Raw genomic sequence first — 22,043 nt, 5'->3', positions numbered from 1 at the left:
AACGTTGGCCTGCCTTGCTAGATTGGGGAAGATCTCCTGGATAATATCCTGCAGAGTGTTTTCCAACTTGGTTCCATTCTCCGCATCACTTTCAGGTACACCAATCAGACGTAGATTTGGTCTTTTCACATAGTCCCATATTTCTTGGAGGCTTTGCTCATTTATTTTTATTCTTTTTTCTCTAAACTTCCCTTCTCGCTTCATTTCATTCATTTCATCTTCCATTGCTGATACCCTTTCTTCCAGTTGATCGCATCGGCTCCTGAGGCTTCTGCATTCTTCACGTAGTTCTCGAGCCTTGGTTTTCAGCTCCATCAGCTCCTTTAAGCACTTCTCTGTATTGGTTATTCTAGTTATACATTCTTATAAATTTTTTTCAAAGTTTTCAACTTCTTTGCCTTTGGTTTGAATGTCCTCCCGTAGCTCAGAGTAATTTGATCGTCTGAAGCCTTCTCTCAGCTCGTCAAAATCATTCTCCATCCAGCTTTGTTCCGTTGCTGGTGAGGAACTGCATTCCTTTGGAGGAGGAGAGGCGCTCTGCGTTTTAGAGTTTCGAGTTTTTCTGTTCTGTTTTTTCCCCATCTTTGTGGTTTTATCTACTTTTGGTCTTTGATGATGGTGATGTACAGATGGGTTTTCGGTGTGGATGTCCTTTCTGTTTGTTAGTTTCCCTTCTAACAGACAGGACCCTCAGCTGCAGGTCTGTTGGAATACCCTGCCGTGTGAGGTGTCAGTGTGCCCCTGCTGGGGGGTGCCTCCCAGTTAGGCTGCTCGGGGGTCAGGGGTCAGGGACCCACTTGAGGAGGCAGTCTGCCCGTTCTCAGATCTCCAGCTGCGTGCTGGGAGAACCACTGCTCTCTTCAAAGCTGTCAGACAGGGACATTTAAGTCTGCAGAGGTTACTGCTGTCTTTTTGTTTGTCTGTGCCCTGCCCCCAGAGGTGGAGCCTACAGAGGCAGGCAGGCCTCCTTGAGCTGTGGTGGGCTCCACCCAGTTCGAGCTTCCTGGTGCTTTGTTTACCTAATCAAGCCTGGGCAATGGCGGGCGCCCCTCCCCCAGCCTCGCTGCCGCCTTGCAGTTTGATCTCAGACTGCTGTGCTAGCAATCAGCGAGATTCCGTGGGCGTAGGACCCTCCGAGCCAGGTGTGGGATATAGTCTCGTGGTGTGCCGTTTTTTAAGCCGGTCTGAAAAGCGCAATATTCGGGTGGGAGTGACCCGATTTTCCAGGTGCGTCCGTCACCCCTTTCTTTGACTCGGAAAGGGAACTCCCTGACCCCTTGCGCTTCCCAGGTGAGGCGATGCCTCGCCCTGCTTCGGCTCGCGCACGGTGCGCGCACCCACTGGCCTGCGCCCACTGTCTGGCACTCCCTAGTGAGATGAACCCGGTACCTCAGATGGAAATGCAGAAATCACCCGTCTTCTGCATCGCTCACGCTGGGAGCTGTAGACCGGAGCTGTTCCTATTCGGCCATCTTGGCTCGAGAGTCCTATCCAGAGATTCTTAGTCTCTTCTGGGAATTGGTGGAAGTCACCCAGACACAAGACACAGAGCTAGAACCACCGACAGCTGGGATGTGGTCCCTGTGAATATATACTGACAGCCACTTCTCCTCCTCAGGATCCACCTCATCTGCCTTTGCTCTGTCTCGAGAAGAGAGGCACAGGAAGTGTGGAAGTCCCTACCCAAGTTTTCCACATTGTTGTTACTTTGTGTTCAGTCCTATAATGTCCCCAGGGCTATGTTTCATCCCTGACACACTGGGAAAGGTGAGGAATATGTCCAGATGTCTCCCTAGCAGACAAGGAAGTGGTTGCAGTACAGAATAAGGAAGTGCATATCTAACACATTTTTGAACAGATTTATATTTAGTATTCTCTTCTACTATTTCATTTGATTTCAGCTGTAGCCATTTGAAGGCAGCCAAGCAAAAATTGTCATCTCCATGTAAATGAGGCAGAGACAGAGGATGAGGGACTAGGAGATGGAGGATGCAGACCTGGATGAGAACTCACATTTCCAGAGAAGGAGGAAACTTGTGACACTACACTACAATCTATGCTCCTTTTCCTTCCTGGGGCTGAGGCCCAGGGATGCTACTGACTAGGTGTTCCCAGCATGTCCCTGGCTTGGCCTCTGGCACAGGATTTACTTGCAGACCCACCTTGTGACCATACACAGCATTCATGGCTGCGATTCCCTGATTCTTCACTATAAAAATTCCAGAAAGAGAAGTGACCAGGAGGCCAACTTCAGGAGTAGGAATTGATGGTAAGTGTGAGAGAGGAGAGATCTTTCCAAAGCAACAGAGCCCTCAATGCTAGCCCTGTCTGCATGCAAAATCCAAGCACGCAGTTCAAGTCATGCACTGCTTTGAACCCTGGAGATATATTTGTAGCCAGGAAAAATCCTATATTTCGTGAATATTCCTTTCTAGGAGGTATAGAAAACTGTTAAAAGACCCACACATGTAACTTGAGTCAGGCAGGAATTAGTGCATCCTCCCAAGGGCCAGTGCCTTGGAGTGGGCTCCTCTCCCCTTGCTTCATGAAGGAGGGAGCCAGGACAACCCCCACAGTGGGCTCACTCCCCATGAGACCCTGTCCTGGGAGCTGCCTCAGAAATAGTTCTTGAATGAAATGAGTGGGGTGGATTGTTTGGAAGACACTTGTTGGAATCACTGTGGATAAAGCACCTCCTCTGAGCTTCCTTCTGCTGATGGAGTCAGGGTCAAGAGAAGGACCAAGGGTGGGAGCAGACAGGGGAGGTGGTGGGAGGGTCTCAGAGGAAAATCTGCTCAAGTCTGGAGCAAGGCACGGCAGGGCTGTGTGGGTTCCAGAGGCCAGATGGGACAAAGTGCAGCAGCTGTGCCTACCTCAGTGCTGGCAGGCCGCAGGGAGGTCTCCAGGCCTGGCTCTCCCCTCTGCTTTGCCTGAACGCCTATGATCGAGGGGCCACCCTCCCAGCACATCTATGGAGGACAAGTCCCAAGACGATGGTCCAAACGCACCACAGGTCTTGTGTTGGGTCCCCCCAGGCTGACCCTGAAACACAGACTGGTGGGTGCAGGTAGTTTATTTGGAGGTGATCCCAGGGGACACATGTGAGAAAGGGAGACAGAGAAGGGGAAACGCAAGGTGTCTGTTATCAATGGGTCACACTGGGGCCGGGGGTGTTTATTCTGCTGGGGAGCTCTGAGAACCATGTGACATGCACCTCTGAATTGGATGCCCAGAGGCTGGGAGACTGGGACATTCACCTGCCTCCCTCCTGAAGAAGGAGTGTGACTCTCAGACTTGACCTTTCCCACACCACAGGGGTGTACCTGCTCTGCTGGAGGAGCTCCAATTACACGGAGAAAGCCACTAGCCAATCTGGGCACGTCGCAGGTGCATGAGTTGGGAGCTACCCATGTACTGGTACTTGGGATACCAGCGGCAGCTGCACTCAGAAGGCCTGTTAGGTCAGGGGTTGGCAACCATGACCCGAGGGCCAAAAGCAGCCCAGTCTGCTTGTCTCCATGTGTAGACAAAGTCTTGTTGGGACACGACTGCTCTTATTTGTTTATGCACTGTCTATGCTTCTTTCAACATACAAAGGCAGTGCTGGGTAGCTGAGAAAGTGACTATAAGCCTACAAAGACCAAAATAGTTACTCCTTAAATTTTTACAGAGAATGCATGCCGAAGCCTGATCTGGGAGATGTGGACAGGGTGTCCACAGCTGCTGGCTATTCTCAGCTAACACATTAGGTATACATGCACTCTGAGCATTAGTGCAAATGTCACATGGGCTGTGTGGGATTCCCGAGTCCCTGTCCTGCTCCATGTGCACATCCCGTGCGCTGGGAGGCCACCCTCACTGCCCCTCTGCAGCCTGCAAGGGGCCCTGAGATGGCGGCTCAGACGCACCTTAGCTGTGCCTCTGGAAGCCACTCAGGAGGCCCAACAGGGAATAAAAACTTACCCCTGAGAGCCCACGAGGCTGCCCTGCTGAGAATAACTCCATCAACTGCCCAGGCCCCTCTCTCCAGGACACTAGCACACAAAGCTTCTGGAAATGCTGATGTTTAATGACCTATATTCTACATGAGGAACCTGGAGAAGTGTGGAATTTACTTTGACAGCATCTGCATGCCCCGTCATGAATCCAAGGGAATTGTAAATTGAAAAGAACAAACAAATATGGAGCTGGTCAGCTACAGCAGAGCCACCTTTGGAGAACTGCCAGTGTCCACAGAGGTGAGGGCAGCCTGAGCCTGGGCCTGTGGGTGAGAAGCAATCAGGGGAACCCCTCTGAGCAGGTCTTGTTCAGGAGCTCACACTGCATTACCCAGGGCTGGGTCCTAAAAGTGAAGAAGCAGGTGAGCATCTGGGAGGGAAAGCATGGGCGAGGCACTGGGGACAGGGGGCTCAGGAAGCTCATGGCTCCCACTCTGAGCAAAGGATCAATATCCACCTTGCACATTTCCCAAGCTGTCAGTTGAATGCGGCTCTCATCCTCATGTGGGGCCATCCAGCCCCACTCCTGGGACATTTCTTAGCTGCTTCCAGATCTGGGGCTCCCTCTTCACTCAAGGTAACCTGTGTTAGGACCCACTTCCCAGACAGTGGCCTCCTGGGACTCCACAGGCTGGCCTGTGTGATTCATACCCCCAAGAGCACAAAAGTCACTTTGTCTCCCCAGAGCTGCTCTCAGATGTAGGCCAATGTTTAACCTATTAGTTAATCCTTTGATGAGGGGGCCCACCTGTCCTAGGTAGGCTGTCCCCAGAGCTGGGCTTCCCCTTGTCCCCTGTCCCTATCCTCTGGAGCAGGCATTACAGCTCAGCAGGGGCCAGGGCAGGACGAGGGAGGGAGGGCAGTGGGGTCCCTCCTCAGCCTCCACCTGCCTCAGGCTCTGGATTAGGGGAGGGGGACCCTGAGAACTGCACACTCAGAAAGAGGTGATATTGGATCCCCACCACGCTCTTTCTTCAGAAGGCAGACGAAGACTGGGGAGGAAGACCAGAGAGGAAACAGCCTCTACTCAGGCTTAGGAGACTGGGACCCCAGGCGGACAAGAGCAGTCTGAAGGCCATGTGCCCTGGGTACAGGCCACTGCAGTGGCATGACAGGGCAGAGTCAGGAAACTCAGATTGGCCGGGAGCCTACAAGTGGACCCGTGGCTGCCTTCCCCTCTGCACTCCCCACTAAGGCAAAAGCAGGGCAGCCTGGTAGAGGCTGCTGCAGGCTAACTCCTCTAAGTCTCTTTGTCAGCTGCACCTGTGCCCATACCACACCCTATGTGGCATCCACAGCTGTGTCCAGGAGGGAAGATGTTGCCCTGTCTTACATCGTTCAGCTCTGTGCTTTCTTGGAAAGGGCAGTTATCAATGTTGTCTTCAAATTTCCCACACCTAGTTCTCCCCAGCAGTAGCTCCATTGAGAATACGGTCTTGGACTCTATCTAATGTACAGAGAGATTACAGTGAACACGCCCCTCTTTCTGCACCTAAATACCTGAAAGTGAAGATGCTGTCATTGTAGGGAGAGGCCCAAACATGCTACTGCATTAGGGAGCTCACTCATGGGCCTGGCATCAGTTCACTGGAGGTAAAATCTGGGGAACCTTCTCCAGATTAAGGAATTAAGAGCAAAGAGCAGGTGTGTATGGTGGGTCCTGGGGCAGACACAGGCTGAGTCAGACCCCACTAATGTATCCCCTGTCTCCAGCTTCACCTCCACCTCTCCCACGATGAGACACAGCTTCACTCTCAGCAGGCATCTGATCCTGCAACTGCATTCCCAGAGGATGGCGCCACATGCCCGGGAGGGTGTTGGATCTCCAAGAGTTTTCAGGGTAACCTCAGCCCTGGGACAGAGGGAGCCTCATCTACAGCATATTGTCAAAACTTTCACCTGACCTCCAGCAAGAAAAATGACACACAGTGCTCCCATTACACACAGGCACACATCCTTGGGACAATGGCTTCAAGAAATAACATCTGCCCCATTGCAAAATGCACTTTGAAATTTTCCTTGCTCTTCTTTCCACTCAATTCTATTTCTTTCCATTCCATATCCTCCTTCCTCATTCATACATTCTTATCAAACCCCACACTGACTCAGGGACTGCCAGATTCAGGAAGCCACGTGGAAGGCTCCAGCCCAGAGAGCAGGGGGCAGAGAACCAGCCAGGGCATTGCACAGAGTCTTTCCAGAGGCTTAAGCTCTGTGCAGGGTTGGAGTCCCTCTGCCCTTCTTGCAGGATCTTAGTGCTGAAGGAGGAAGAGCAATCCGACTTCTCCCTCCTAACCAAAAGTGCTCCATTGGGAGATCATTTTCATTGTCCATACCTGCAGCCCAGATAAACAGTGCATTCCTGATTGCATTCTGTAGTGACTTGATTAAAAGAAAATCATTTAGGATTGAAAGCTGTGGTCTGAGAAAGAGTGTAAAAAACCCTTCAGTTCATTAAGTGCAGACCCACCAAGGAGCTCAGAGCAGGTGGAAATCAGAGAAGAGGAACTGACCGCACAGCAGCCTCTCAGGACTGATGGGGGTTCCTTATTGCTTCTGAATCTGCATCTCTCACTCTCTCTCTCACTCTGTCTCCAGTTTTCCCATTTTTCTAAGTATCTGTTGTCATTTTATGTCTTTGACATAAAATTTGAAGTACTTCTCAATCTGTCTTTATGGACATTTTTAGTCCATATATTTTTTTTAACTCAGTAGCTTCATCTCTTTAGTAGTCCTTATTTTGAAGTCATTCTTCAGTTGAATGTCATAGAAAAGATGAAGATTGAAAAAATGTTTTAAGCACTATTAATTAGATTTGAATAAGTTCTTAGATGTTTCAAAGTAAAATGTTTTCTAAAAACTTAAAATTACTAAACTAGATATTATACCTTACTATACTATAGACCTCAAATTTTACCTTGTTATGGACTACAAATGATAAACCAGGACTCCTTAATTAGACACCACACCCCTATCCATTATTGGTAGCAAGTAAGGGAGGGCTGGGAAGGAAAGGATGTGGTTACCAACCTTCTTCCTCTAGGAACTCAGAACATGCACCAGCTTGTAGGCATATGAGTCCATGCTCTGCAGGTGGAATGTGTGTGACACACACATTCCACCATGGCAGGGAAGTATTCAGCCATGAGTATTTGGTCTACATTGTTCTTGTGTTTTTTGGCAGAGTCAGGAAAGAAGAGAGAGGAAAGGAAAAAGAGATAAAGAAATAAAAATATTAGTAATGAAAAAGGGCAGACCTCTAGAGACATAGAATATAAATTAATATGCATATGAAAACACCATGCACAGAAAATACATTTTAGACTAAACCTCCAATCATGATACATAAAATAATAAACTGATAAATTATTTCTTATCAAAATTAAAAGCTTTTGCTCAGTGAAAACCCATGTGAGGAGGATGGAAAGACAAACTACAGAGTGGGAGAAAATATTTGCAAATCATATATCCATCAGACAACTAGTATCTAGTATATGTAATAAACTCTCAAAACTCAACAGTAAAAAAGTTGGTTGTGGCACATGTTCTCATTCACAAGTAGGAATTGAACAATGAGAACACATGGACACAGGGAGAGGAACATCACACACCAGGGCCAGTCAGGGGGTGGGGGGCAAGGGGAGGGAGAACATTAGGACAAATACCTAATGCATGCAGGGTTTAAAACCTAGATGACGAGTTGATGGGTGCAGCAAACCACCATGGTACATGTATATCTGTGTAACAAAACTGTATGTTCTGCACGTGTATCACAGGACGTAAAGCATAATAAATAAATAAGAAAAACCAAATCCTGATTTTGAGATCTATCCATATTGTTACTTATAAACCTAATAAATTTATTTAAACAGCTAAAACAAAATCTGTGATGGATCATCATGGCAGACAGGAGACAGGACTAGATTACAGCTCTGAACAGAGCAGCGTGTGGAAGCTCACGCTGTGAATTCTAGCTCCAGATTGACTGCAAGAACAATCCAGCAATCCCAAGAGGATCCACAGACCCTCTCAAAGAAGCAAATTGCTCCTGCAGGACCCAGGAGACACCTCAAATACTATGAGTGCTCCAACTGCAAAAGTGGGAAAGGGAAACCCTCCTCTCTTGAACTCACACCCCCAATGGAGAAACTGAAGGTCTGTTGGTGAGATAAGTTTCCTACCTTACCTGGGGCTGAGTCAATTTAGAGAGCAGAGTGAAATACAGGGGTAGAGGAAGCAGCAGAAAGACCCTGGGAGCTTGTTGGGCCCCCCAAGTAGGACATTCCTGCCTGACACCACAGGGATCCACTGGGAAGACTGCCAGAAGAGTGGTGGGGCAAGACTCCATAGGAAGAAGGAAATCTCTAGCTGAACTGTGTAACAATTTGAATGGGTGAGAAGCCTCCTGGCCAGAACTCAGGAAAGGGTGCAAATCCGGTGTGTAGACTCCACAGGCAAGGGAAGAACCAAGCCCTTTTCTTTCACAGCCTGGAGGTGAGTAGCCTGGGGCAAGTTCTCAAGCTCATTTTGCCCACCACCTAGAAACAGACTTGGGGCTATTGTGGGGGTTACAGTGGGAGTGAGACCAGCCCTTCAGTTTGCGTGGGAGCTGGGTGAGGCCTGTGACTGCCGGCTTTCCCCCACTTCCCTGACAACCTGCATGACTCAGCAAAGGCAGCCAATAATCCTCCTAGGTACACAACTCCAGTGACCTGGGAGTCTAACCTCCATCCCCAACAGCAGCCGCAGCAAGACCCGCCCAAGGACAGTCTGAGCGCAGACACGCCTAGCCCCGCCCCCACCTGATGGCCCTTCCCTACCCACCCTGGTGGAGGAAGACAAAGGGCCTATACTCTTGGGAGTTCTAGGGCCCTGCCCACCGCTGGTCCCTCTCCACACTACTATAGCTGATGCTTTCTGGAAAGCGCCACCTCTCTGCAGATGGCCAATCAGCACAAAAATAGAGCATTAAACCACTAAATCTAACAACCCTCACAGAGTCCAATGTACCCCCACCCCCACCACTTCTACCAGAGCAGGTGATGATATCCACGGCTGAAAGACCCATAGACAGTTCACATCACAGGACTCTGTGTAGACAACCCCAGTACCAGCCCAGAGCTTGGTAGACTCGCTGGGTGGCTAGACCTAGAAGAGAGACAACAAACACTGCATTTCGGCTCACAGGAACAAACACTTCCCTCTTTTATGGGAAAAGAGGGGAGGGCTACATCAAGTGAACACCCTGTGGGACAAAATAATCTGGACAACAGCCATCAACCCTAGACCTTCCCTCTGATAGAGCCTACCCAAATGAGAAGAAATCAGAAAACCAACCCTGGTAATATGACAAAACAAGGCTCTTTAACACTCCCCCTAAAATCACACTAGTTCACCAGCAATGGATCCAAACTAAGAAGAAATACATGATTTATCTGAAAAAGAATTCTGGAATTCAGTTATTAAGCTAATTGGAAAGGCACCAGAGAAAAGAGAAGCCCAATGCAAGGAAATCCAAAAAACAATACAAGAAGTCAAGGGAGAAATATTCAAGAAAATAGATAGTTTAAAGAAAAAACAATAAAAGATTTTGGAAACTTTGGACACCCTCTTAGAAATGTGAAATGCTCTGGAAAGTCTCATCAACAAAATTAAACTAGTAGGAAAAAGAAATTCAGAGCTCGAAGAAAAGGTCTTAGAATTAACCCAATCCAACAAAGACACAGACAAAAGAATAAGAAAATATAAACAAACACTCCAAGAAGTCTGGGATAATGTTAAATGACCAAACCTAAGAATAATTGATGTTCCTGAGGAAGAAGAGAATTCTAAAAACTTGGAAAACATATTTTGGGGAATAATTGAGAAAAACTTCCCTGGCCTTCCTAGAAACCTAGACATCCAAATACAAGAAGCACAAATAACACCTAGGAAATTCATTATTCAAAAAAGATACTTGCACACGCATGTTTATAGCAGCACAATGCACAATTACAAAATAGTGGAACCAACCCAAATGCCCATCAATCAATAAGTGGATAAAGAAACTGTGGTATATATATGCAATAGAATATTACTCAGCGATAAAAAAGACTGAATTAACAGCATTTGCAGTGACCTGGATGAGATTGGAGACTATTTATTCTAAGTAAAGTAACTCAGGAATGGAAAACCCAACATCGTATGTTCTCACGGACATGTGGGAGCTCAGCTATGAGGACACAAAGGCATAAGAATGATACAATGGACTTTGGAGACTTGGGGGGAAGAGTGAGAAGGGGATGAGGGGTAAAACACTGCAAATATGGTGCAGTGTTTACTGCTCAGGTGATGGGTACACCAATATCTCACAAATCACCACTAAAGAACTTACTCATGTAACCAGATATCACCTGTACCCCAATAACTTATGGAAAAAATACAAAATATATATAAATAAAAAATAAAAAGAACTTAAGAGCTCAAAGACAGAGCTTTCAAATTAACCCAATCAGACAAGGACAAAAAAAAAATTAAAGAACAAGGCTTCAAGAAACTTTGGATTATATTAAGTGGCCAAACCTAAAAACTACTGGTGTTCCTGAAGAGGAGGAGAAATCTAAAAGTCTAGAAAACTTATTTGAGAGACTATGTGAAAAAAACTTACCTGCCCTTGCTAGAGATCTAGACATCCAAATACAAGAAGATAAAATAACACCTGAAAAAAATCATCACAAAAAGATTATCACCTAGCACATAGTCATCAGGTTATATAAAGTCAAGATGAAGGAAATAATCTTAAGAACTGTGACAAAAAGCCATCAGGTAACCAATAAAGGAAAACCTATCAGATTAACAGTAGATTTCTCAGCAGAAACCTTACATGCCAGAAGGCACTGGGGTCCTATCTTTAGCCTCCTGAAACAAAATAATTGTCAGCCAAGAATTTTGTATCCAAAAAACTAAGCTTCACAAATGAAGGAGAAATAAAATCTTTTTTGCATAAACAAATGCTGAGAGAATTTGCCACTACCAAGCCAGTACTACAAGAAATGCTAAAAGGTATTCTAAATCTTGAAAGAAAAACTTGAAATACACCAAAATAGAACCTGATTATAGCATAAATCTCAGAGGGCCTATAAAGCAATAACACAATAAAAAAATCAAGGTACTTAGGCAATAACTAGCATAATGAACAGAACAGGACCTCCCATCTCAATACCAACACTGAATGTGAATGAACTAAATGTTCCACTTAAAAGATACAGAATGGCAGAATGAATAAAAATCCACCAACCGAGTACCTGCTGTCTTCAAGAGACTCACCTAACACATAAGGACTTAAACAAACTTAAGGTAAAGGGGTGGAAGAAGATATTACATGCAAATGAAAACCAAAAGCGAGCAGGAATAGCTTGTACCAAACAAAACAGACTTGAAAGCAAGAATCGTGAAAAAAGGCAAAGAAGGACATTATATAATGATAAAAGGATTAATCCAATAGGAAAATATCACAATCCTAAATATATATGCATCTAACATGGGAGTTCCCAAATTATCAAACAATTACTGCTAGACCTAAGAAATGAGATAGCAACACAATAACAGTGGGGAACTCCAGTACTCCACTGACAGCACTAGACAGGTCATCAAGCCAGAAAGTCAACAAAGAGAAAATGGGCTTAAACTATACCTTCCAACAAATGAACCTAACAGATTTTAACAGAACACTCTACCCAAAAACTTCATAATATACATTCTCTTCATCAGCACATGGAACATTCTCCAAGACAGAACACATGCTAGGTCACAGAACAAGTCTTAATAAATTTGAGAAAATCAAAATTATATCAAGTGTCCTCTCAGATCACAGTGGAATATAACTGGAAAGTAAATCCAAAAGAAACTCTCAAAACTATAAAAATATATGGAAATTAAATAATCTGCACTTCATTAGGTAAATGATGAAACCAAGATGGAAATTTTAAGATTCTTTGAACTGAATAATAGTGACACAACTTATCAAAACCTCTGGGATACAGCAAAAGTGGTGCTAAAAGGAAAGTTCATACCATTAAATGCCTACATCAAAAAGTCTGAAAGAGAACAAATAAACAATCTAAGGTCACACCTCAAGGAAATAGAGAAACAAGAACAAACCAAACCCAAACCCAGAAGAATAAAATAAATAACAAAGATCAGAGCAGAACTAAATGAAATTGAAGCAAACAAAAAATACAAAAGATAAATGATGCAAAAAGCTGCTTGTTTGAAAAGATAAAATTGATGAGCCATTAATGACATTAACCAAGAAAAGATGAGAAGGTCCAAAAAGCTCAATTAGAAATAAAATGAGAGCTATTACAACCACTATACAGAAATACAAAAGATCATTCAAGGCTAATATGAACACCTTTATGCACACAAACTACAAAATCTAGAGGAGATGGATAAATTCCCGGAAACATACAATCCTCCTAGATTAAATCAGGAAGAAATGGAAACTTTGAACAGACCAATAACAAGTAGCGAGATTGAAACAGTAATGAAAATAATTGCCAATGAAAAAAAAATTCAGGACCAGATGGATTCACAGCTGAACTCTATCAGACATTCAAAGAATAATTGGTACCAATCTTACGGAAACTATTCCAAAAGAAAGAGAAAGTGGCAAACCTTCCTAAATCATTCTGTAAAGCCAGTATCACCCTAATACCAAAACCAGGAAAGGACATAACAAAAAAACAAAACTACAGACCAATATCTCTGATGAACAGAGTTGCAAAAATCCTCAACAAAATACTAGCTAACCAAATCCAAATCCAGTGGCATTTAAAAAAGATAATACCCATAATAAGCCGGTTACCACTCCTTAGTTCCATATTTATGCTATGAGGAGGTTCTATAGGTGAAAGATCTCTACAAAGAAATACCAGGGATGCAGGGATGATTTAACATACACAAGTCAATAAATGTGATACACCACATAAACAGAATTACAAATGAAAATCATATGATCATCTCAATAGATGCAGAAAAACACATTTGACAAAATTCACCATCTTTTTATGATTAAAGCCCTCAGCACAATCGGCCTAGAAGGGACAAGGTAATGAGAACTATCTATCACAAACCCACAGTCAACATTATACTGAATGGGGAAAAGTTGAGAAATGCTTCCCCGTTGCTTAAGGGGAGCATTTCCCCTGAGAACTGGAACAAGACAAGGATGCCCACTTATATCACTTCTATTCAACATAGTATTGGAAGTCCTAGCCAAAGCAATCAGACAAGAGAAACAAGTAAAGGGCATCCAAATTGGTAAAGAGGAAGTCAAATTGTTGCTGTTCACTGATTATATGACTGTATATCTGGAAAACTCTAAAGATTCATCTAAAAAGACCCTAGATGTGATAAATTTGGTAAAGTTCCAAGACAGAAAATCATTGTACACAAATCAGTAGCATTGCTATACACCAAGAAAGACCATGCTTAGAATCAAATAATGAATTCTATCCCTTTTATAACAGTTGCAAAAATATAAAATACTTATGAATATACCCAGCCAAGGAAGTGAAAGAACTCTACAAGAAAAAATGCAAAACACTACTGAAAGAAATCATTGATGACACAGACAAGTGGAAACACATCCCATGCTCATGGAAGGGTAGAATCAATATTATGAAAATGATCATACTGTTAAAAGCAATCTACGGATTCAATGTAGTTCCCACCAAAACACCATCATCATTCTTCATAGAACTACAAAAAAAATTGTAACATGCATATGGAACCAAAAAAGAGGCCACATAGCCAAAGCAAGACTAAGCAAAAAGAAAGAATCTGGCAGCATCACATTACCCAACTTCAAGTTATACTACAAGGCTATAGTTACCAAAATGGCATGGTACTCATATAAAAATAGGCACGTAGACCAATGGAAGTGAATAGTGAACTCAGAAATAAAGCCAAATACTTACAGCCAACTAATTTTTGACAAAGGTTTTTACTTTATATACACAAAATATATATAAAGTAGATAAAGTACACCCTATTCAGGAAATGGTGCTGGGATAATTGGCAAGCCACATGTAGAAGAATGAAACAGGATCCTCATCTCTCACCTTATACAAAAATCAACTCTAGATAGTTCAAAGACTGAAATCTAAGACTTGAAACCATAAAAATTCCAGAAGATAACACTGGAAAAATTCTTCTAGACATTGGCTTAGGCAAAGAGTTCATGACCAAGAACCTAAATGCAAATGCAACAGAAACAAAAATAAATAGATGGGACCTAATTAAACTAAATTAAACTAACAAGCTTCTGCACAGCAAAAGAAATAATTAGCAGAATAAATAGAAAACCCACAGACTGGGAGAAAATGTTCACAAACTGTGCATCTGATAAAGAACTAATATCCAGAATCTATGAAGAACTCAAACAAATCAGCAAGACAAAAGCAAAAAACCCCATCAAAAAGTGGTCAAAGGACATGAATAGACAATTCTCAAAAGAAGATATACAAATGGCCAATAAACATATGAAAAAAATGCTCAATATCACTAATTATCAGAGAAATGCAAATCAAAACTACAGTATGATACCACCTTACATCTGCAAGGATGGGCAAAATTAAAAAATAAAAAAAAAATAGATGTTGGCATGGATGCAGTGAAAAGGGACCACCTTTACACTGCTGGTTAGAATGTAAACTAGTAAAACTACTATGAAAAACAGTATGAAGATTTCTTAAAGAGCTAAAAGTAGAACTACCATTTGATCCAGCAATTCCACTCCTGAGTGTCAACACAGAGGAAAGGAAGTCATTATATGAAAAAGAGACTTGCATATGCATGTTTGTAGCAGCACAATTCACAATTGCAAAAAATATCTAAGAAGCCTAAATGTCCATCAGCCAATTAGTGGAAAAAGAAAATGTGGTACATATAGACCTTGAATTACTACTCAGCCATAAAAAGGAATGAAATAATGGTATTTGCAGCAACCTGGATAAAATTGGAGACTGTTATTCTAAGTTAAGTAACTCAGGAACGGAAAACCAAGTATCACATGTTCTCATTTATAAGTGGGAGCTAAGCTATGAGGATGCAAAGGCATAAGAATAATATAAGGGACTTTGGGAAGTTGGGGGAAGGGTGAGAGGAGGGTGAAGGATAAAAGACTACACACTGGGTACAGGGTACACTGCTTGGGTGATGGGTACAGCAACATCTCAGAAATCACCAATAAAGAACTTATCCATGTAAACCAAAACCACCTGTTCCCCAAAAACTATTGAAATAAAATTTTTAAAACAAGAAATCATAACAGACATTTTTCCAAATCAAGGGAAAGATAAATATCCAGGTTAAAGAAGGTCAGATCACCAAACAGATTTGACCCAAATGACACATCTCAAAGCATATAATAATCAAATACTCAAATGTCAAGGACAAAGAGAGGATTCTAGAAACAGCAAAATAAAAGAAGAAAGGAAAAAAAAACCATAAAGGAGCTCCAATTTGTCTGGCAACAGACTTCTCAGCAAAAACCATACAGGCCAGGAGGAAGTGGGATTACATATTCAAAGGGCTGAAGGGAAATAACTGCCAAATAAAAATACTGTAATCAGCAAATATTTCCTTCAAACATGAAGAAGAGATAAAGCATTTCCCAAACAAAAGTTGAGAAAATCCTTAACCATTAGACCCATCTTAAAAGAAATGCTAAATTGATGTATTTGATCTGAAGAGAAAGGATGATAACATGCAAAAAGAAAGCTATTGGAGATATAAAACTCACTGGTAAAAGTAAATATATAGACAATTCAGAGTATTTTAATACTGTAATTGTGCTGAGTAATCTACTCATATATCTGGTATGAGGAAAAAAAAGATAAATCTATCAAAAATTATTACAGCAACCTGTTAAGAGATAGGCAATAAAAAAGATATAAATTAAGACAACAAAAAGTCAAAACGGGGAGTTGATGGAGTTAAATTGTAGAGTTTTTAGTCTTTCCTTTGTTTCTTTTCTTTTCTTTGTGATCAAAGTTAAGTTCTCATCTGTTTAAAGTAACTTGTTATATGTATAAGAGAATCTTTTGGAATCCTCAAGGTAACCACAAAGCAGAAACCTACAATAGATACACTAAGAATAAAAAGCAACAAATGAAAAGATACTACGAGAGGAAATTACTTAACCACAAGTGAATACAGTAAGAAAGAATGAAAGAGAGGAGTTACAAAACAATGAAAAACACATAATAAATTTGCAGCAGTAAGTCCATACCTGTCAATAATAACATTAAATGTAAGTAGACTAACTTATTCAACTAAAAGATATAGAGTGACTGAATGGATAAAGGATAAAGACCCAACTATATTTTGCCTACAAGAAACTCATTTCACCTGTAAGGACACAGTCTGAAAGTGAAGGGATGGAAAAAGATCTTCCACACAAATGAAAACCATAAAAAGAGCAGAAGTAGGGCTGGGCATGGTGGCTCACACCCGTAATCCCAGCACTCTGGGAGGCTGAGGTGGGTGGATCACGAGGTCAGAAGATCAAGACCATCCCGGATAACATGGTGAAACCCCGTCTCTACTAGAAATACAAAAAAATAGCCAGGTGTGGTGGCAGGTGCCTGTAGTCCCAGCTACTCAGGAGGCTGAGGCAGGAGAATGGCATGAACCTGGGAGGCAGAGTTTGCAGTGAGCTAAGATTGCTCCACTGCACTCCAGCCTGGGCGACAGAGTGAGACTCCATCTCAAAAAAAAAAAAAAAAAAAAAAAAAAAAAGAGCAGAAGTAGCTAAGCTTACACAAGATAAAATATATTTTAAGTCAAAGACTGTAAAAAAGAGAAAAAGGAGTTTACTATATAAAGATAAAGGGGTGAATTCAACAAAAGGAATAACAACTATAAATATCTATGCTTCCAGCATTGGATATCCCAAGCATATAATGCAAACATTAATAGATATAAAGCCACAGAGATAGACTACAATAAAATAATAGTAGAGAACTTTAATACCCCTTTCAGTAAGATGAAAGATGAGCCAGAAAAAATCAGAAAGATGAGCCAGACAGAATCAACAAAAATATTCAAAGTTAAAAGACACTCTAGAGTACCAAGTAGACCTAATTGATGTTTAGAGAACATTTAATCCAACTGCTACAGAATACACATTCTTATCAGCACATGAAACATTCTCCAGGATAGGCCATATGTTAGGCCTCAAAAAAAATCTCAATAAATTTCAAAAAGTTGAAATCATATCAAGTGCCTTTTCTGACCACAATGGAATAAAACTAGAAATCAATAACAAGAGGAACTTTGGAAATTATATAAACACATGGAAGTTAAGCAACATTTCTAAAGGATCATTGATCAATAAAGAAATTAATACAGAAGTTTAAAAATTACTTAAAACAAATTAAAATGGAAACACAACATATCAAAATCTACAGCTAAGGGAGTTCTAAGAGGCAAGTTTATAACAATAAATGCCTATACCAAAAATGTATTAAGATTTCAAATATTTCAACCTAATAATGCAGCTCAAGAAATTAGAAAAGCAGAAATAAACCAAATCCAAAATTAGTAGAAGGAAAGAAGTAACAAATATCAGAATTGAGAATTTAAAAAATATAAAAGACTAACAAAACAATAAGTTATTCTTTTGAAAAGATAAAATCAGCAAACCTTTATCTAGAGTAAGGAAAAAAGAGAGAATGCTCAAAAAAATATAATCAGAAACAAAAACAGAGACATAACAATTGATAATACAAAAATGTAAAGGATTGTTAGAGACTATTAGGAACAAATATATGGCAAAAAACCTAGGGGAAGTGAATACATTCCTGGATACATATAACATACCAAGAAGAACCAAGAAAAAACAGAAAACCTAAACAGATCAGCAATGAGTAAGAAGATCAAAGCAGTACTAAAAAGTCTCCCATCAAAGAAAGCCTAGGTCCTAATAGCTTCACTGCTGAATTCTACCAAACATGTAAAGAAGTACTATCAATTCTATTCAAACTATTTCAGAAAATAAAAAAGAACAGAATACTTCCAAACTCATTCTACAAAGCCAACATTACTCTGACGCCAAAACCAGTTCAGGGTACAATAAAACAATAAAAACCTACAGGCCAATACCCCTGGTGAACATAGGAGCAAAAAAAAAAAAAGAAAAAAAATCCTCAACAAAGTACTAGCAAATGAAAATACAACAACACGTAAAAAAAATCATTCACCATCACCAAATGGGATCCACTCCAGGGATGCAAGGATGGGTCAACATATGCAAATTAGTAAATATGACACATCACATTAACAAAATCAAAGACAAAAACCATATGGTCATTTCAATAGATGCTGAAAAAACATTAGACAAAAATCATACATCTTTTCATGATAAAAGCTCTCAACACAACAGGCTTAAAGGAACATACCTCAAAATGAAGGCCAAAATAAAGGCTGTGGGTTTGTTATATATTTCTTTCCTTTAATATCTGGAACAAGACTTCCACCACTTTTATTCAATGTAGTACTCAAAGTCCCGACCAGAGCAACTGGGCAAGAGAAAGAAATAATGGGCATCCACATTGGAAAGGAAGAAGTTAAATTATCCTTGTTCACAGATGACATGTTATGATATTTGGGAAAAGCTAAAGACTTTGTCAAAAAACTATTAAAACTGCTAAATGAATTCAGTTAAGTTGAAAACACAAAATCAATGTACAAAGATCAGTAGCACTAACATACACCAACAGTGAACAAACTGAAAAAGAAATCAAGAATGCAATCAAATTTACAGTAGCTACAAAAATATAAAATAATTAGAAATAAATTTACCTCAAGAAGTAAAAGATGTCTACAAAAAAACTATAAAGCATTAATGAAATAAACGGAAGAGGAAATTAAAAACTGGAAAGATATTTATGCTCATAAATTGGAAGAATTAATGTTGTTAAAATGTCAATACTAACCAAAGCTATCTACAATTTCAATGCAATCCTTATTCAAAATGTCAATGACATTCTTCACAGAAAAGGACAAAAAAAATATCCGAAAATATGTATAATACCACAAAAGACCTCAAATAGCCAGGGAAATCCTTAGCAAAAATAACAAGGCGGGGGACATCAAAATATACCTGACTTCAAATTGTAGTACAATGATACAGTAACCGAACAGCATGGCACTGGCATAAAAACAGACACATACACCAATGGAACAGAATGGAGAACCCAAAAATAAATCCACATGTTCACAGCCACCTCATTTTCAACAAAGACGCCAAGAAAACCCATTGGAAAAGGAACAGTCTCTTCAATAAATGCTGCTGGAAAAACTGGATGATCATAATGCGGAAAAGTGAAGCTAGACCACTACCTCTCACTATATATACATTAAAAAAAACACTATATATATAAAACACTATATATATAAAAAAAACAAAAATTGATTAAACGCTTAAATTTAAGATCTGAAACTATGAAACTTCTAGAAGTATTGGGAAAACATTTCAGGACATTGGTGTGGGCAGACTTTTTAGGTAAGAACTCAAAATCATGGCAACAAAAACAAAAATAAACAAACAGGATTACATCAAGCTGAAAAGGCATTGCACCACAAAGAAAACTGTAAATGGGGCTTACTTTCAGGTCCCTTTGTATGCCTTATAATTTTTTTTGGAAAACTGGTTATTTAAATATTAAATTGTGTTAACTCCAGGAGTCTGAGTCTGCTTTCTCCCTAAGATTTGTTGTTGCTTGCTGTGGATTGTAGTTGTGTCTTTGTTTAGTGACTTTTCTAAACTATTTCTGTGAAGAGTGTGTTACTTGTTACATGTGGTCAAAGTCACTAAACAACTGTAACAACAACAACAACACCCTTCCAAAACTAGCCCACTTGGTGTGTGTATTGGGGCACACCTTCAATGCGTAGGCCACTCACACCTCTGTCCTAGCCAAGGTTCCTTGCTTGTGCTGAGATTGGAAGTCAGGCAGAGATGCAAGCTCAGGGTCACCTCAGGTCTTTCTTGACCTATCTCTTGTCTTTGAAAAGACCTAAGACACATCTATGAGATATAACTATGTCAATTTGCACCATTATTTTTGTTGTTATTATGTCATTTTCCAATCTCAGTTTTTAGGGAACCCATGAGAAGTTTTCATTCTTGTGTAACTCATGCAGTGGTAAGGAATCCTGCAGTGCTGGCTTCTGCTTCACAATTATAAGCAAGACTTTGCCAAGTGAAAAGGAAAGTGTGAATCTTGTGTCATGGATCCCTTGACTTGTGAGTTGTGTTTGATTGAAAATCTTTCTCATGTGAAAATCTTTCACAACCCAGTAGATCTCACAAATAATTTTGCAAATAGTTGTGTGGTTGAGCTGTTTGTTTGCCAAGGTTAAATAAATATGAGAAGAATGGGTCAGCTGGGTGTGATCCAGAAGACCAGTGACATTTCGACAGTGCAATGGGGGCTGGACACAGTAGCTCATGCCTGTAATCCCAGCACATTAGGAGGCTGAGGTGGGAGGACCACTTGAGGCCAGGAAAGTTCGAGACCAGCTTGGCCTACATGGCAAAACCCCATCTCTACTAAAAACACAAAGAATTAGCCGGGCATGGTGCAACACGCCTGTAATCTCAGCTACTCAGGAGGCTGAGGCAGGAGAATCTCTTGAACCTGGGAGGCGGAGGTTGCAGCAGTGAGCCAAGATCACACCACCGCACTCAAGCCTGGGCAACAGAGATTCCGTCAAAAAAAAAAAAAAAAACAACCCATGAAACAACGCAATGGGCCAGATTTCACCTGTTATCATTGCTAATCAGGACACAGGTTTCAGCTACTCTGTGTCACCCACTTCCTGGAGTCAAGGCAGAAGATCAAGATGCACATGGCTCCTGGGCAGCAGCTCCCCACACACTAGCTACTTTCTTCTGTCTGTGATGGGTGAAGTCTCCTGTGAGGAGACACTCGGGACCACCCCAGTGTTGGGTCAGGCAGCATGACTCTCTTCACCTGCAGCTGTCTTGACCTGGCCAGTGCTGTGCTAGTGTGGACAGATGCAGTGATGCTCTTCCCAGGCCTGGCCCTGCTGTGATCTGGGAACATGGTATGGGACACAGTCAGAACAGTTCTTGTAGAATCAGTCTCCCTGACTTGGGACTGAACTTTCTATTCTGTTATCTGGCAACAATGCTAGGTTCTTGCCTATATTGCAGCACCATAGTCTTCTCAGCCAAACTCAAAGCTCTCACTTTTGCATACTTCACCTGTCCTGCACTATTTAATGTTCATTCTTACAGCAACAAAATATTATTATTTCCTCTTTCAGGTTAGTTATTGCCAGGAAATTGATTTAAAAGTAACCACCTAGTATCACCTAAGTGCTGGCAAAATAGCTCACTCTAGAACACCAAGAAGGATGGTCAGATGGAGACAAAAATGATCAAGGGGCTGAAGAATGGTCCAACCTCTATCTCACTGAGGCAGAAACATGTGATCTCCCAGAGAAGTGTTTAAAAATTTGGTCTAGAATGATATTCCAGTCTAATAAAACATGAGTGTGTGTGGTGGGGCTGCAGATGTAGGGCGGTGGGCCCTGTAGAAACCTTGGCTCTGGCTCAGCTGGAACCAGGGCTGACAAGGTTTAGAAATGCAAGCAGGGCTGGGCTGGGCATGACCAGGCTGGGGCCTCAGGACTTGGGTCTCTGTCTTTCCTGCCCTTTTCTCACAATACTCATTGTCCATCCCAGGTCAAAATGGTTGATAAAAATTGCCATTTATTTTTTTCATTTTTTCCCTTGGTTCACAGAGTACAACTGTTGAGGTATTATACAACAAAAGAACAAACTGATATCTTAGTTATTTTTCTGAACAACGGAGATCCTCTCTTCGACGGGGTGAAGGAGGGGAGAGTGAGAGTCGAGATGTCCCCAGGTCTTATCTCAGTTCGCTGTGGGAGGCGAAGGCACAGAATCATCCAAGGACACCAAGCACCTGAGGACAACCAGAACCTGTGGGTTCTGAAGGAGCAGCC

General features: G+C 41.6%; 1 pseudogene, besides 1 other annotated feature; it reads right to left on the bottom strand.

Annotated features, from left to right (window-relative positions):
* Positions 652-1,256: an enhancer, noted in NCBI's record as "NANOG-H3K27ac-H3K4me1 hESC enhancer chr20:23570170-23570774 (GRCh37/hg19 assembly coordinates)". NCBI's record gives its function as "activates a minimal SCP1, AML or CMV promoter by ChIP-STARR-seq in naive and primed H9 embryonic stem cells {active_cell/tissue: H9 hESC(naive and primed)}" and the evidence as "EXISTENCE:reporter gene assay evidence [ECO:0000049][PMID:30033119]".
* On the bottom strand, positions 4,279-7,144 carry CST9LP2 (cystatin 9-like pseudogene 2; annotated as a pseudogene).

Source organism: Homo sapiens, chromosome 20 (genome assembly GCF_000001405.40).
Source record: "Homo sapiens chromosome 20, GRCh38.p14 Primary Assembly".
NCBI classification, from domain to species: Eukaryota; Metazoa; Chordata; class Mammalia; order Primates; family Hominidae; genus Homo; species Homo sapiens.
The sequence above is the reverse complement of the archived record's forward strand: the minus strand, read 5'-3'. Positions and strand labels throughout refer to the sequence as shown.